At 42.6% G+C, this 15,982-nt stretch overlaps 1 protein-coding gene, 1 long non-coding RNA gene and 1 pseudogene across 4 annotated transcripts in view, besides 2 other annotated features; 2 read left to right on the plus strand and 1 right to left on the minus strand.

Moving 5' to 3' along the window:
- THAP12P10 (THAP domain containing 12 pseudogene 10) lies at window positions 476-2,001 on the plus strand (annotated as a pseudogene).
- Window positions 3,115-15,442, minus strand: LOC105370203 (uncharacterized). The gene is made up of 2 exons (NR_135318.1): window positions 15,237-15,442; window positions 3,115-3,563 (listed from the first exon to the last, which is right to left on the minus strand). It is a non-coding gene; the product is annotated as an uncharacterized LOC105370203 (long non-coding RNA).
- Window positions 15,388-15,950: an enhancer, noted in NCBI's record as "H3K27ac hESC enhancer chr13:49821922-49822484 (GRCh37/hg19 assembly coordinates)". NCBI's record gives its function as "activates a minimal SCP1, AML or CMV promoter by ChIP-STARR-seq in primed H9 embryonic stem cells {active_cell/tissue: H9 hESC(primed)}" and the evidence as "EXISTENCE:reporter gene assay evidence [ECO:0000049][PMID:30033119]".
- Window positions 15,420-15,649: an enhancer, noted in NCBI's record as "active region_7745". NCBI's record gives its function as "activates an Ori minimal core promoter by ATAC-STARR-seq in GM12878 lymphoblastoid cells {active_cell/tissue: GM12878}" and the evidence as "EXISTENCE:reporter gene assay evidence [ECO:0000049][PMID:35858748]".
- Window positions 15,527-15,982, plus strand: part of CDADC1 (cytidine and dCMP deaminase domain containing 1) — a 45,561-nt gene continuing 45,105 nt past the window's right edge. For all 3 annotated transcript variants that reach the window (NR_036439.2, NM_030911.4, NM_001193478.2), the window contains exon 1: window positions 15,527-15,721. Coding sequence is in view for 2 of the 3 variants with exons in the window: in NM_030911.4 (NP_112173.1) it covers window positions 15,640-15,721 (82 nt within the window). In the remaining variant the exon portion in view is untranslated. The remainder of the gene's footprint in view (window positions 15,722-15,982) is intronic.

The raw sequence follows: 15,982 nt of genomic DNA on the forward strand, positions 1-15,982 counted from the left end.
AAAATGCTGGGATTACAGGCATGTGGCACCACACTCAGCCATGATTGCTTGAATTTATTCCCTCTGACTAACTGAAATTTTGAATCCTTTGACCAACACCTCCCCAATCTCTCCCTGCTTCCGTTTCCTGGTAACTGTTTTACTCTCTGCTTTTTATGAGTTCAATTTTTTTAGATTCCACATATGAGTGAGATTATGTGGTATTTGCCTTTCTGTGCCTGGCTTATTTCCCATAACATAATGTCCTTCAAGTTCATCTGTGTTGTTGCAAATGGCAGGATTTCCTTCTGTTTTAAGGCTGAATAGTATTCCAATGTATGCATATATGTATGTATGTATGTATAAACCACATTTTCCTATACACTCATCCATTGATGGGCACCTAGGTTGATTCCATATCTTGGCTATTGACTTGTTCATTTTTAAGAATCAGTCTTTCTGCCCACAATGTGTGGTGTCTTCCGTACACACATGGTGGGGGCTGATCAGGGAGTAGTGGTGTGGTCAGGTATATTTGTGTCCACCAGGTTTCCTTCCAAAATGAATGTCCAGGCTACTGGGCTTTTAGAGAAATAGTCCCAAGGTATCTACGCACTCTGCTGTTCTTGGAAAGTCAGGATTTGTCGTAAGCACATCTGTCGCATTGGAAGCATCTGAAGAAAACTGTTCTTTTTCTTAACGGTCATTGCAACTGCTTTTAGGATTCCACAGTGTTAAATCTGCCCTTTCTTTAGAGCAGTCAAGAAAGATGTAATAACTGAAGGAAATGGGCCTTCCTCCACTGATAGGCATGATGCTTTTGAAATTTAAGTGGAGCTCTTGCATTTGTTTTTTGTATGGACGGTATAAGGAATGGCACAAACGCTAGATGGAATAGCTTTATAGCTGTTGAGCATTTGTGCTCTTTTGTGCATCAATAGATTTCTATTTCATTGGTTTCATTTGTTCTTAAAAATGCCCTATTTTTATTTTATTTATTTATTTTTTTGAGATGGAGTCTCGCTCTGTCACCAGGCTAGAGTGCATTGGCACGATCTCGGCTCACTGCAACCTCTGCCTCCTGGGTTCAAGCAATTCTCCTGCTTCAGCCTCCTGAGTAGCTGGGACTACAGGCACCTGCCACCAAGCCTGGCTAATTTTTGTATTTTTAGTAGAGATTGGGTTTCACCATGTTGGCTAGGATGGTCTCAATCTCTTGACCTCATGATCCACCCGCCTCAAAAAATGCCCTATCTTAACAAGAGCCTTTGGGGGGAAAATTCCAGTGGCAAACTTCTGGCATCTTCTTGACAGGCAGCAGCTTAACTACAGTTATCACATTCACAAATGAAGTGGTAAAAAATATTGAATTTTATTATACTTTTTGGTTTGAGGAAGCCACTAATGTGGCCACTAAACATGATGTTCAAATGAAACCTTCTGGGAAGTTTTTCAGGGATTACCAGGATAACCTAGAATCTCAACTAGCCTTTGACATTATTAGAAACAGTGTCCCAATGGTAGAGCACATTATTCAGAAACTTAGATTTTCTCAGATCAGCACCTCAAAGTACTTATACTAAGACACAGGACATCTCCAGCTCAACATGTCAGAGTAACACACTGCTGACATGTACAGAGTGACTCACCAATCTAGACGCACTTCTATGGAGCTCCATTGCTGGAAGATCAAGTGGAAATACACACGGAAAGGCAAAGAACTTCTATCTGTTCACAATTTATGATGCTCGCTATCTGCCTGACATCTATGTCTCTTTCTTAATGTTTACATATCATTTCAGGTCCTGTGTTCCCAGGATGGAGACTGAGAGTGAGCACAGATGGATGTAAGCATCACAAAATATGCCCAAAAAAACACTGACCAGAGGTCAGGTCATGTCACTTGGTTAACATAACTCTTAATACAAAACATGGTTTGCATTTAATGATAGACACATAAAGCAAACTCTATACAAATGAGTCAGAGCCTCCAAAAGTAACTCGGAAATTACTGACAATACCTGAGATAATATTTTAAGATGCTTTGTTTTTCACTATTAGGAAGTAAAACTATGATTTGCATTAGGCCACTTAGTCACTAAAGGTAAATTTGGCTACAGGCCTCCCACCAAATCCATTAGCCATCTATGTCCTACATGTTGAATAATCACAGCCTGAACTTGCATGCTTTGAAAACTTCTCTGTCTCCAAGAAGATGGTATTCAAAGTGTCAAGTTTCATTTCTGTGCGATGCCCGCCAGTGGCGTGATGAAGGGATTAAAGTCATTTTGGGAATTACATTTATAATCTACCAATCTAATGACCAGGATTTGAGTTATCAGCTTTTGGAAGAAATAAATGTTGAGGAAGTGAGGGAGGGAGAAAAAAATTTATACAAAAGAACGAAGCTTCCAACTCAAATACATTGTGTTTTAAGTGCACTATTAAAACTATTCCATAAGGAATAGTTTAGGAAGTTACCAGAAAGTGATAGAAACTGTGTGCTCACCTGAACAGGATTTCAGGGTAAACTTTGTCTTCATCAAAGAATGGACAGTAGCCAGGTCCAGTGGCTCAGGCTGTAATCCAGCACTTTGAGAGGTGGAGTTGGGAAGATCCCTTGAGGCCCGGAGTTACAGACCAGCCTGGTCAATATAGTGGGACCCCATCTCTTAAAAAAAAAATAAAGAAAGAGAAAGGAAGGAGGGGAGGGGAGTGGAGGGGAGGGGAGGGGAGGCGAAAGGGAAGGGGGAAGTGTGGAGGGATGGAGGGGGAAGGGGGAGGGAGGGAGGAAGGAAGAAAGGAAGGAGTTACAGTTACAGTTTGAATGGAGGGATGCCTCACTGTTGCCCCACATGTGTTGCTGGGGCTTGCACCCCTTTGTTGTATCTCTACCCTAACTGGGCCATCAGCTTTTTAGCGGACCACACATGAACCCTCTGTTTTACAAGCAAGACAGAACATGAGTTCACAGACACTGACAACTGATTTGTCTCTCTTTGGTTATTCTTTGGTTTTTTTTCATTGCCTCATCTTGATTTATATGCATAAGCATCTTGATTTATTTTTGCAAAAAAAAACTTCCAAAAATAAAAGTTTTGTAGTTTACCTAGGAATAATACACAAAATATTGCATTTTTGTGAGGAAAAGCTATTTGTATAGTTTATTTCAATCTAATAATATTTGAAATTTGTTTGAAAAGCAAAATAAAAAGAAGCACTGCAGAGTAACTGTGTGATTGCCTGATGGGTTGTCCTGCCTGCTACACAGACAAAACCAATTCACTGGGAACACGGTACTATAGTAAAGAATAAGTTTAATTAACTAAGGCCAGCCAAGTGGAAGAACTGGAGTTATTACTAAAATCAGTTTTGCTGAGAACTCAGAAGCCAGAGTTTTTATGGATAATTTGGTGGGCAGGGGGCTAGGGAATGGATGCTGCTGCTTGGTTGGGGATGAAATCATAGGGGTGTGGAAAACAGTCTTCATGCATTGAGTCGGCCTCTGGGTGTGCGCCACAGGACCAGCTGAGTTATGCATCATGGGTCCGGGTAGGATCAGTTGGTTACCAGAATGCAAAAGTCTGAAAAATACATCAAAAGATCAATCTTAGATTCTACAATAGTGATGTTATCTATAGGAGCAATGACTCCTGGGCAGTAAGAGAGTATGAAAACTATGCCCATATTTAGCAGAATTCAGGCCGTCCCATAATCCTAACCTCGTGGCCTTTCATTAGACTTACAAAGGCAGTTTTAGTTCCTGGACAAGGAGAGGGTCATTTTAGGGAGAGACTACTGCTTTCAAGTTAAACTATAAACTAAATTCTTCCCATGGTTAGCTTGGCCTATGACCAGGAATGAGTGAGGACAGCCAGCCTGTGAACCTAGAAGCAAGACGGGGTCAGCCATGCTAGATTTTTCTGACTGTCATAATCTTTGCAAAGGCAGTTTCAACTGTCCAGATTATTTAGGTCACTCAGGTGAAATGTATATGATGCACATGTAAACTAACAACATTCAGCTTTTGTCATATGAGTGACTATGTAAATGTGAATAAATTACATTTTAGCTGTTGATAAGACATATGTGCATTATTGCATAAGTATGCAAATACTAACTCCCTCTTCTTCCTCAAGGCACTTTGAACTAAAGAGTCCTCAAATCTGAACATTCTTTTTATTAAAATAAATTTGTGCTCCAAAAAGCATATAAAGCAATTTATAAAAGCATCTAAAATAAAACACACATGAAGTAAATGGGGAAAGTAGAAACTAACAAAAAATTAGGATAGGCAAAATAAGATTATACCAGGAGGAAAATGAGGACATAAAATTCATATCCTGGTGTATGGTTAAGAAGTTTACGTGATTCATGGGAGACAGGAGAATCGATCCTTCAAGTATTCCAAGATGACATCTTAAAAGCTAGAAAACTATGTCCTCAACAACAATCTTTAAGGCAAGCATAGTAATGAATGTCCTAGAGCTTTTTCTTATAAAGCCAATGAGAAAAATTGTCCCACATTTGGAAAATGATTAAATAGTGACTACTTAAATTTTTTTGCTATGCATTTTTTTTTTTTTTTGAGATAGAGTCTTGCTCTGTCACCCAGGCTAGAGTGCAGTGACACAATCTCGGCTCACTGCAACCTCCACTTCCTAGGTTCAAGCAATTCTCCTGCCTCAGTCTCCCAAGTAGCTGTGATTACAAGTGTATGATACCACCACACCGGCTAATTTTAGTATTTAGTAGAGATAGGGTTTTGCCATGTTAGCCAGGCTGGTCTCAAACTCCTGACTTCGTGATCCACCTGCCTTGGCTTCCCAAAGTGGTGGGATTACAGGCGTGAGCCATTGTGCCCAGTCACATTTTCTAGTATTAGAAAATAACATGACTGCTTGAATAAAAGCAGGACATTGTTAAAGGGAACTCTCATTTGATATTCGGGGGGAATGCAAGTTTGTTGTCACATTTTTTAAATTAATAGCACACAATTCATAGAAGCATAGCCCTCTAAAAAGAGATTACCTTGCTGAAACTGAAAAAGTGTTAGGATTTTATAGCCTTTTTAAATAAGTAAATTAACCCCAAACAAGATACCACTATATACCTATTACAATGGCCAAATTCCAGAACACTGACAATAACAAATGCAGGTGAGGAAGTGGAGCAACCAGAGCTCTCATTTGTCAATGAAAAGAGTCAAATTCTAAAAAAATCTTTGAAGAGATTTACTTTGAGCTAAATATGAGAGACCAATGACCCGTGACACAGCCCTCAGGAGATCCTGAGAACATGTGTCCAAGGTGGTCAGGGTACAAGTTGGTTTTATACAATTTAGGGAGATATAAGACATCAATTAATACATGTAAGATGTATACTGGTTAGGTCTGGAAAGGCAGGAAAACCGGAAGTGGGGACTTCCAGGTCATAGTTGGATTCACAGGTTTTCTGACTGGCAATTGTTTGAAAGAGTTATTATCTAAAGACCTGGAATCAATAGAAAGGAATGTCTGGGTTAAGATAGGCAGTTGTAGAGACCAAAGTTTTATCATGCAGGCGAAGCCTCCAGGTAGCAGGCTTCAGAGAGAATAGATTGTAAAGGTTTCTTATCAGACTTAAAGACTCTATTCTATCAGTAATTCCAAAATGGAGGAGGGCATAATGAGGCAGGTCCAGCTCCTCCTTCCCATCATGGCCTGAAAGTTGACCTGAACTAGTTTTTCAGGTTAACTTTGGAATGCCCTTGGTCGAGAGGAGGGGTCCAATCAGATGGTTGGGGGGCTTAGAATTTTATTTTTGGTTTATACATTCATTTCTGTTAGAAAGGAAAAAAAGGTACAGTTACTTTGGAAGATAGTTTGGCAGTTTCTTACAAAACTAAACATACTCTTACCATATGATCTAACAAACATACTCCTTGGTATTTACCCAAAGGAGTTGAAAATATGTCCACAGAAAAACCTGCACATGGGTGTTTGCAGAAGCTTCTTTTTTTTTTTTTTTTAATTTTATCATTGTCCAAACTTGGAAGCAACCAAGATGTTGTTCGGTAAGTGAATAGATAAATAACTATGCTACAACCAAGCAATGGAATATTATTTGGCACTAAAAATAAATGAGCTATCAAGCCCGAAAAGATATGGAGGAAACTTAAATAATGCATATTGCTAAGAGAGAAGCCAGTCTGAAAAGACTACTGTTCTGCAATGGGCAGGTCTATGGAAATCTACCCCTAAAGTCTGCGGAAGCTAAGAGGCCAAGAAAGAGGCTGACACATTTGGTTTCTCAGGAAAAAACAAACAAACAAACAAACAAAAACATTTAATAGGGACTTAGGAAGAGAAGCCACAATGTCCTGGGCAGCTGCCAGACAAGGTGTTGGATTCCCACACTATGACCCCCACAGACCCAGGGCTTCCATGTCATAGGGAAGGAATGTGTAGGACAATTATAGGGAAAGGCAAGATGCTATGTGAATCTGCCTAGAGCAGAATTTATGGTCAAGGGAGTTTTGACCTAAGGGCAGGATTTACAGTAAGTACAAGCTCTTACACAAGGAACAGTAGATAAAATGGAAGATAGCAGCCTTCCCTAAATTGAGGTTAATCAAGAAGTCAACAGGGCGGATTGGCATCCAAGATGGAGTTGCGTTAGCCTCCACAACTACATACAATGATTCCAACTATATGACATTCTAGAAAAGGCAAAACTATGGAGACAGTAAAAAAGAAGACTAGTGTTGCCAGGAGTTAGGGTGCAGGGATGAATAAAGCAAAGCACGGAGGATTTTTAAGGCAGTGAAACTACTCTGTATGATATACTACAATGGTGGACACATGTCCCTACACATTTGCCCAAACCCAGAGAATGTACAACACCAAGAGTGAATTCCAATGTAAACTGTGGACTTTGGGTGATGATGACATGTCAGTGTAGGTTCATCAACTGTAACAAATGCACCACTCTGGTGGGGGATGTTAATAGTTGGGGAGGCTGTGCATGTGTGTGGCAGGGGCCATATGGGAAATCTCTATTTTCCACCCCATTTTGCTGTGAACCTAAAACTGCTCTAAAAAAATAAAATCTTTTTTAAAAAGTTAACCCAAAAGTATATGGTTTTATTGCCCTAAAGAAAGTTAACCAGGCATATTGTACCTAACTTAGCTATTTTAGAGAATCCTTTTCTCTTCAAGTATTTAAATCCTGTTCCTCAAATACACTCTGAACTAGGTCTCATTGCTGCCACCAACGGTTCACTCATTTTAGGAGTTAAATGAGGGGGAGTTAATTGAGTTTTATTGGAAAACGGCCACACTCAGTCGTTTTCATATCATCTATGGCTGCTTTTGTAGCAGAATGGAATAGTTGTGACACAGACTAAATGGTCTGAAAAACCTAAAATATTTGCTATCTGGGCCTTTCCAAAAAAGTTTGTAAACTCCGGGCCAAATAAAACTTTGACACTTGCTCGAATCTGGTATGAAAATTTTGCTTGTAGCATCAGTTAACATCAGCAGATGATATGATACCAAAAAGTACTTGGTATCATCAGTTAACATCAGCAGATGATACGATACCAAAAAGTACTTGGTATCAGTTGCTTTTGGTAAAAGCAATTCTACAGAGGGCCAAAATACTTTAGCTAAAAACCACTGATTCAGAATCTCTAAGGCTGGGACCCAGAAATCTGGGTTTTAACATAGTCTCTGAGGGACTCTTATGCATACTCCAGTTGGAGAATCGCTGGAGCCCACTGGCCTAGCCCAGTGGTGGATGTACAGATTCTGACTCAGAAAGTCTGAAGTGCAGCCCAAGATTCTGCTTTTCTCACAAGCTCCCACATGATGGCGATGTTGCTGGTCTGAGGGCCTTAGTTTCCTCACCTGCGTAATGGAGATGATAAAAATCTATTTCATAGGGTTGTTGTGGGTAGTAAATGAAGTCATAATGTCCATTTATATCCTGCCCCCACCCCTTTCAAGCTATGTCTATTGGGGCAAGTTACCGAATGTCTTGGTTCCTATAAGTGGAGCTAAATAATATTGCCCACATCACAAGGTTGCTGGAAGGAGCAAATGAGATAATAAACATAAAGTACCTAGAACAGAGCCTGGAACACTGTAAAGGCTCAATAATGTAAGATACTATTATTACTATTATCATTATCGTTACATAGGGTGTCTGATCATAGCAGATATTCCATCAGTGTTAGTTTCCTCCCTACTCCCTCTCCTATCCATCCTCTCATCCCTACCCCTCCCTCTAGTGTCTTCTGTTGATTTCTTTTTTATTTTTGTTTAGAGATGCTGTCTCACTCTGTTGCCCAGGCTGGCATACAGTGGTGCAATCATAGCTCACTGCAGCCTCAAACTCTTGGGCTCAAGCGATCCTCTCACCTTAGCCTCTGGAGTGGCTGTGGCTACAGGTGCACATTACCACAACTGGCTAATTTTAAAAAGTGTTTTGTAGAGATGGAGTCTCGCTATGTTGCCCAGGCTGGTCTTGAACTCCTGGCCTCAAGTGATTCTCTGGCTTTGGCCTCCCAAAGGGATGGGACTATGGGCACAAGCCACTGCACCCAGCCCTCCTTCTGTTGATTTCTAATGTGTCTAATTAGATAACTTCTATAGGAATGCTGATTCAGAAATACCTGAACCCAGGTGGCCCTACCTGACAGTCCAGAGGTGCCACACAAACAGGGACCCAAAATGAGCTTGGACATTGACTGTGCTGCCCAGGCCCCTCTGCCCACCCCCTCTCAGGCAGGCTTTTGGTAGAGAGTTTGGGAGAACAAGGGAAAGTGGGCTTGCCAGTCCTTCCCACCTCAGGGGAGCACCATTTCCAGGGCTGCCTGAACATTCTTACTCTGCAGCACATTAATCTACGTGGCACCAAGTTTATTTTTCTGAGAAGATTATTTGGGACAATATATGGAAAATCTGAGAAGTCATTTCTCTTTGGCAGCACTGCCCTCCATAACAAAGCACATATTCCTGAAGGGCATCTGGATTTTGTTTCAGGTTTCTTTTTGCTTCCTCAGGGTTTAAGTGCTGCCAGGAATGGCCTTCTAAGAATTGCTTAGCAAACCTTAATCTCCAGACTCAGGGTGGTGGGGATAATCACATTTTTTGCCCGAAATGACCAAATTGAAACCATCCCCACAGGGTTGACAAGAATGGCATGCTGGGTTCTGGACAGAAATATAGTTATAATTAAGAATGAATCAGCCGGGCGCGGTGGCTCACGCCTGTAATCCTAGCACTTTGGGAGGCCAAGGCCGGCAGAGTGCCTGAGCTCAGGAGTTCGAGACCAGCCTAGGCAACACGGTGAAACCCCATCTCTGCTAAAATACAAAAGAAATTAGCTGGGCATGGCAGCATGTGCCTGTAGTCCCAGCTACTCGGGAGGCTGAGGCAGGAGAAATGCTTGAACCTGGGAGGCAGAGGTTGCAGTGAGCCGAGATCGTGCCACTGCACTCCAGCCTGGGGCGACAGAGCAAGACTCCGTATCTACAAAAAAAAAAAGAACTAATCAGACAGGCACGGTAGCTCACACGTCTAATCCCAGCACTTTGGGAGGCCAAGGTGGGTGGATCGCTTGAGTTCAGGAGTTCGAGACCAGCCTGGCCAACACGGTAAAACCTGGTCTCTACTAAAAATACAAAAATTAGCCAGGCTTGGTGGCATGTGTCTGTAATCCTTGCTATTCAGGAGGCAGAGGCATGAGAATCACTTGAACCTAGGAGGCAGAGGTTGCATTGAGCCAGTATTGTGCCACTACACTCCAGCCTACCTGGGCAACAGAATGAGACTCTGTCTTAAAAAAAAAAAAAAAAAGAACTAATCAGGCCACAATTCAGCACACTTCCTTGTTGCCAAAAGTCACTAGATCCTGACCATTTGCATCCCCATTGTTCCTAAAGATAGGATTTCTGACATTAAGATTATAATGATGGAGACAGGAGGCAGAGAAATTCTAGGCAGACAGGGGCAGGTCCCTGGCAAAGTCCCATCCTCAAGCCAAAAAGCCTGAGACTGCAGCCCAAAGTGAGAACTTACATCCCTGTTCTCCCGCTCAAATGTTGCCTTTTCCAAAACCACCCATGGCCCGCCCTGCCCCCTATCCTGTGCTTATAAAAACCCCAGACTCAGCCGGCAAAAAGGAGAAGCAGCTGGACATCAGAGACTATGGCTCAACGTCTGAGAGAAGTGGCTTGACTTCAGAGAGACAGCTTGACAGCATAACTTCAGAGAAGAATCTGGCCAGAGACAGCCGGACTTCAGGGGAAGATTACCTTCCCACCCCATCCCCTTTTCAGCTCCCCTTCCTGCTGAGGGCCACTTTTATCAGCGATAAAATCCTGTTTTTACCATCTTTCAATTCCTTCGTCCAAACTCATTTCTCCTGGATGCCAAACAAGAGCCTAGGAGCCACAAGTGCAGATGCAAAAGGCTGTCACACTGGCCCTTTGCCCTCACTGGTGGAAGACAGCTCCCTCACATGAAAAGGCAGAGGGAGGCTCTGCAGAGCTGCTAACACTTAAGCTGTCTGCAAATGGCAGAGCTAAAAGACCACTGTAACACTCCCTCTGGGGCTTCAGGGGTTGCAGGAACCCCACCAGATACTGCCTTGGGGGCATGCATGGAGTTTGCTCCTGCTGGTGCTCAAAAGTGCTCACCTGGCTCCTGCACCTGCTCACCTGTGTGCTCCCTCCCATAAGGGGTGGAGAGCAGTGAGTCCGAATGAGTGGAGTTCACTCCTGCTGGTGACGAAGTGGCCAGCTGATTCCAGTGGTTGTGTACTCCAGTTCCTGCCTTATTTGCTCATGCGCTCCCTCCCGCAAGGAGTTGAGAGCTGTGGGCTGAGTAAATGGGGCACCCCTATTGCGAGTCCTGCAAAGCGGTCAGGGAAATATCCTACTTCAATAAGACTGTTTAAAAATGGATTTGCATCCCTGTTGTTCCTATAGAGATGATCTCTGACGGAATCATAAGGCTTTTGTTTAAGGATTGCTTAAGATGTTCTCAGATCCAAATTTCAGCGACCAGTTTGGAGACCCTCACAGAAGAACGGGATGAGCATAAGAACACAGCTTCTTCATCTCCCTGTCCCATGACTTCACCCTGTGCTCTTCGACCAGTGAACACTCTCCACACTTGGGCCCACTCCAAAACCCTAAAGACTGTAGCCCCAAACTCCTCAGACAGATGGATTTAAGATTCCCTCCCATCTCCTCCTTTGGTGACCCTATAGGTAAATGCTTTATCTGCTAAAACCCAGTGTCTCTGGCACTGGTCATGGAGTGCCTTCTCACAAGAGCAAAATTGAGTGTAAGGTACATTTTCTTCCACAAGCCAGGTATTCCATAAGCACCACCAGCATCAGCAGATCCAGCTACAGATTCAGTGACTATGATCAACTCCACAGACCATCAGCTTGCTTTGTTGAGAGGATTCTGTCCTAATAAACACACTGCTAAGACTAACATTCCCAATCCACAGGACCTAGAATAAAAGAAAATTCAGGCTACTTAGAGAATAGGTAAATGAAAGATGAAAAAGGGAGGGACAATCAACAGTATTGAGCACCTGTGCTTTGCCAAGCACCATACTACTTGGGATCATGTAGCCCTTCATGAAAATTTGTGATAAATGTTTTACCATCATCCTTTCCTTCCTTCTTTCCCTGGGCTATTCCTTCCTCCCTTCCTTCTTCCCTGAGTAAGTCAGTCAAAAAGGCATTTGATAACCTCCCCTCCCCTCCCCTTCAAGGGAGAAGAGGCTATTACAGCAGAGGAAGAGGAAGGGGCTGGAAAGCCAAAGAAGCAACTAGCATGCTAGGAAGGTGAGTCACATACAGGGGAACTGAGGGTGGAAAAAAGAAAGAAAGGACAGAGGCTGCTCCTTTAGCCTGGATCCCAGAGCCAATTCACAGGAGCAGCAGCATGTAACATGAGTAAAAATTAACCTTTGTGGGGGCAAGCCACTGAGATTTCATGGTCATTTGTGTGAAAGGAAAATGAATCTTGGGGCCCCAAAATCACTAAGCTAAAGGGAAAAGTCAAGCTGGGAACTGCTTAGGACAAACCTGACTCCCTTCTATTCAAGTCATCCCTCTGCTCACTGAGATAAATGTATATCTGATTGCCTCCTTTAGAAAGGGTAATCAGAAGCTCAAAAGAATGCTAGCATTTGTTTCTTATCTACCTAAGACCTGGAAGCCCCCTCCCAACTTCGAGATGTCCCACCTTTCCAGACCAAACCAATGTTCATCTTACATATGTTGATGGATGTTTCATATCTCCCTAAAATGTACAAAACCAAGCTGTGCTCTGACCACCTTGGGCACATGTCGTCAAGACCTCCTGAGGCTGTCACAGGCGCATATCCTTAACTTTGGCAAAATAAACTTTCTAAATTAACTGAGACCCGTCTTAGATTTTGGGGGTTCACATTTGTTACCCACAGCAAGCCGGGTCTAAGCCAACTGATACAGTAACTGGTAAATAACTTCTGTTCTTAGAGTGTGAATACAGCTTGTCTCTCTCATATCAAAGCCCATGGTCCTTCCACTTGATATATAGAATTGTTTATTGATTTAAAAACCATTTTATTGATTAAACTGGCCTTTGTAGAACTCAGCTGCTCTGAGCTTGTCCACTTCTCAGCACTTAGGGAAAATTTCATTTTATAATCCTTTTTAGTCCTCTTATTCCTCTGCAGCAGAACAATTATTCCACCAATACTGTGGAAAAGTTAGCCTAGTCTGAAAAATATTTCAGCTACAAATACCTAAAAATGCAGGATAAAATATGGCTGAGCTAGCAAGAAAGTAAGAGAAATAGTCCAAGTATTTAAACTGCTCTGAAATACTAAAGGACTGAAAATGGAATGAGACCAGGAGTCCAAAGAGAGGTTAATGAGCAATAAAGCTAATGATTGTTTGAAGGGCAGGGCAGATCTAGACTGCTGGGGATTAAAGATACACACACAAACACACATATAACATATATAGGTGTGTATGTATATATATATACATATAGTTATTTTGAGAGTTTAAGACTTAAAGAAAGTTGCAAAAATAATACAGAGTTCCTGTGTTACCCTTCACCCAGCTTCTGCAATAATAATGTCTTACCTATTCACAGCACTTTGGTAAAAGCAGGAAACTGATACTGGTAAAATACTGTTAATACAGGTATAGATCTTATTTGTGTTTTACTAGTTTTGAATGTACCACTTTGCATTTTTGGTGTATAGCTCTATGAATTTTATCACATGTATAGATATGAGTAACTGTCAACACAAAGAAACTCTGTCGTGTTACCTCTTAACAGTCAGACCCTTGTCCCAACCATAACATTTGGCAATCATGGATTTGTTCTTCAATGCTATAATTTTTCTTTGGCTATGAGAATGGTATCTAGATGGAATCATACAGTATACAACACTTTAAGACTGGCTTTTAAAAACTCACCACAATGCCCTTGAGATTCATTCAAGTTGTACGTATCAATAGCTCATTACTTTTTATGGCTGAGTAGTGTCCCATGGCATGGATATACTCCAGTTTGCTTTCTATTCATTCACTAAGGACTGTTTGGCTTGTTTACAGTTTTTTTGTTTTTTTGTTTTTGAGATGGAGTCTCACTCTGTCGCCCAGGCTGGAGTGCAGTGGTGCAATCTTGGCTCACTGCAACCTCTGCCTCCCGGGTTCAAGTGATTCTCCTGCCTAAGCCTCCTGAGTAGGTGGGACTACAGGTACATGCCACCACGCCTGGCTAATTTTTTGTATTTTTAGTAGAGACGGGGTTTCGCCATGTTGCCCAGGCTGATCTCAAACTCCTGACCTCATGATCCGCCCGCCTTGGCCTCCCAAAGTGCTGGGATTACAGGTGTGAGCCACCATGCCTGGCCTGTTTTCAGTTTTTGACTATTAAAAATAAAGCCACCATGACATTCATGTACAGAGTTTTGTTTGAACATAAGTTTTGGTTTGTCTAGGATAAATACCCAGGAGTGTGATTGCTGGGTGATATGATAAGCATATGTGCAACTTTATAAGAAACTGTCAAACTGTTTTCTAGAGTGGTTATGCCATTTTATAGTCCTACCAGCAATGTTTGAGAGATCCGGTTGCTCTGCATCCTCACTAGCATTTAGTGCTGTCAGTACTTGTTATTTTAGCCATTTAAATAGGTGTGTAGTAGAATCTCATTGTGGTTTTAATATACATTTCCCTAATGGCCAATGACACTGAACACTGTTTTACATGTTTATTTGCCATCTGTATATCTTCTTTGGTGAAATGACTATTCAAGTCTTTGATCCATTTTCTAACTGGACTGTTTACTTACTCTGAGTTTATATGGTTCTTTATATATTCTGGATATGAGTCCTTTGTTGGATACATGCTTTGCAAATATTTTCTCCTAGTCCATGGCCTGTCTTTAAACCTTAGTGTTAATTGCCATGAAGGCACTGTCAACAAAGTCTACACTTCAGGAAAGGTGCAGAATGGAGTTCTCTGGATATAGTCAAATCACCTGAAGAGCTTTACCCTCAGAACAGGCGAACTAGAAAAAATTCTACAAGCCAAAGAAATAAATAGCAAGCTGAAAGATAGATCTGAAGAAATTAGCCAGAATGTGGCTCAGAGAAACAAAATGATGCAATATTTTAAAAATAATAATTTAGAACCTCAGAAGGTTTAACCTATGCCTAATAGGAATTCCAGGAGGAGAGTCTAGAGTAATGTTGTCCAATACAGTAGTAGCCAATAGCCACATGTCACTACTTAAAATGTAAATTAATTAAAACTAAATGAAGTTAAAAATGCAGTTCCTTGGTTGTACTGGCCACATTTCAGATGCTCAATAGCCACATGTGGCTGGTGGCTACCATATTGGACAGTGCAGATATAGAATACTACAGGAAATCCTACTGGACAGTGCTGATCTAGGTCATAAAACAAGTCTGAACAAATTTCAAAGAACTGGTATGATACAGATGTTTTGTGGAAATAAACTAGACATTAGAAATTAAAAACAAAATAACTCCTACTGCCTCCTCTCACCTTTTTCCCCATTACAATTCCACCTCTTAATGTCTTCATGTTCTTGATGAGAAGCAGAACGTCCCTACTGTGTTCCATGGCACCAAGTTCCCCAGAACCCGCCAGTCTCTGATGACAGAACATCCTGGACCGCCCAGCTCCACACCCCAACCCAAGAAGTTCTCTAAAACACTGACCATGACAGCCTGGGGTAGGTTTCCACTTTAACATTCTGACCAAAATTCTCAACTCGATGCAGTCAGAGTCTGCGCAACCTGGGACCTCGAGCCAAGAAATCCTCAAGTGACCTTACTTGGCAAAACCAACAAAACAACCAAATACAGGTCTCAAGCGATTTACAGCTCGGTGCTTAACTCGGTCACCGGCCGAGGGGCAGCCCTCTGGCGCCAAAGCCCCGCCTCTCTATGACGTCACACGAGGAGCCCTGAAGTGGCGGTCAAGCTTGAGGCGTCATCTGGCTGCGCCTAGTGGGCCGTTGCCTTACAGTTGCTGAGAGGAGGCGAGAGGCGGGGGCGCTAGGGCCGAGATCATGTCTGACTGGGAGAGGTTTCCTTGGCAGCAGAGGACGCTAGGTTTGGGATGAAAGAAGCTGGGCAGATGCAAAATCTGGAGAGCGCGAGGGCCGGGCGGTCAGTCAGCACCCAGACTGGCAGCATGACCGGTGAGTGTCCGGGACCCTGCTCCCGCCACCCTACCTTTCGCTCTGCCCTGTGCGTCTCCCGTCATTGAACTCCAGATTCCTTGTCTGAGCCTCTTTGCCTCCCCTGCTGCTTTTGGATGTCTCCTGCCCGCCCTCTGCGTGTCCCCTCCGCGGTCGCCAGGACCAATCGGCTCGGTCGCACTGGCTTTTGAAGTCTCGCTTTTTACCCCTGTTAGCTACTTCTCACAGGACCTAGAGCTGGGGCCTCTGAGGTCAAAGAGC

This window comes from Homo sapiens, chromosome 13, assembly GCF_000001405.40.
Source record: "Homo sapiens chromosome 13, GRCh38.p14 Primary Assembly".
NCBI classification, from domain to species: domain Eukaryota; kingdom Metazoa; phylum Chordata; class Mammalia; order Primates; family Hominidae; genus Homo; species Homo sapiens.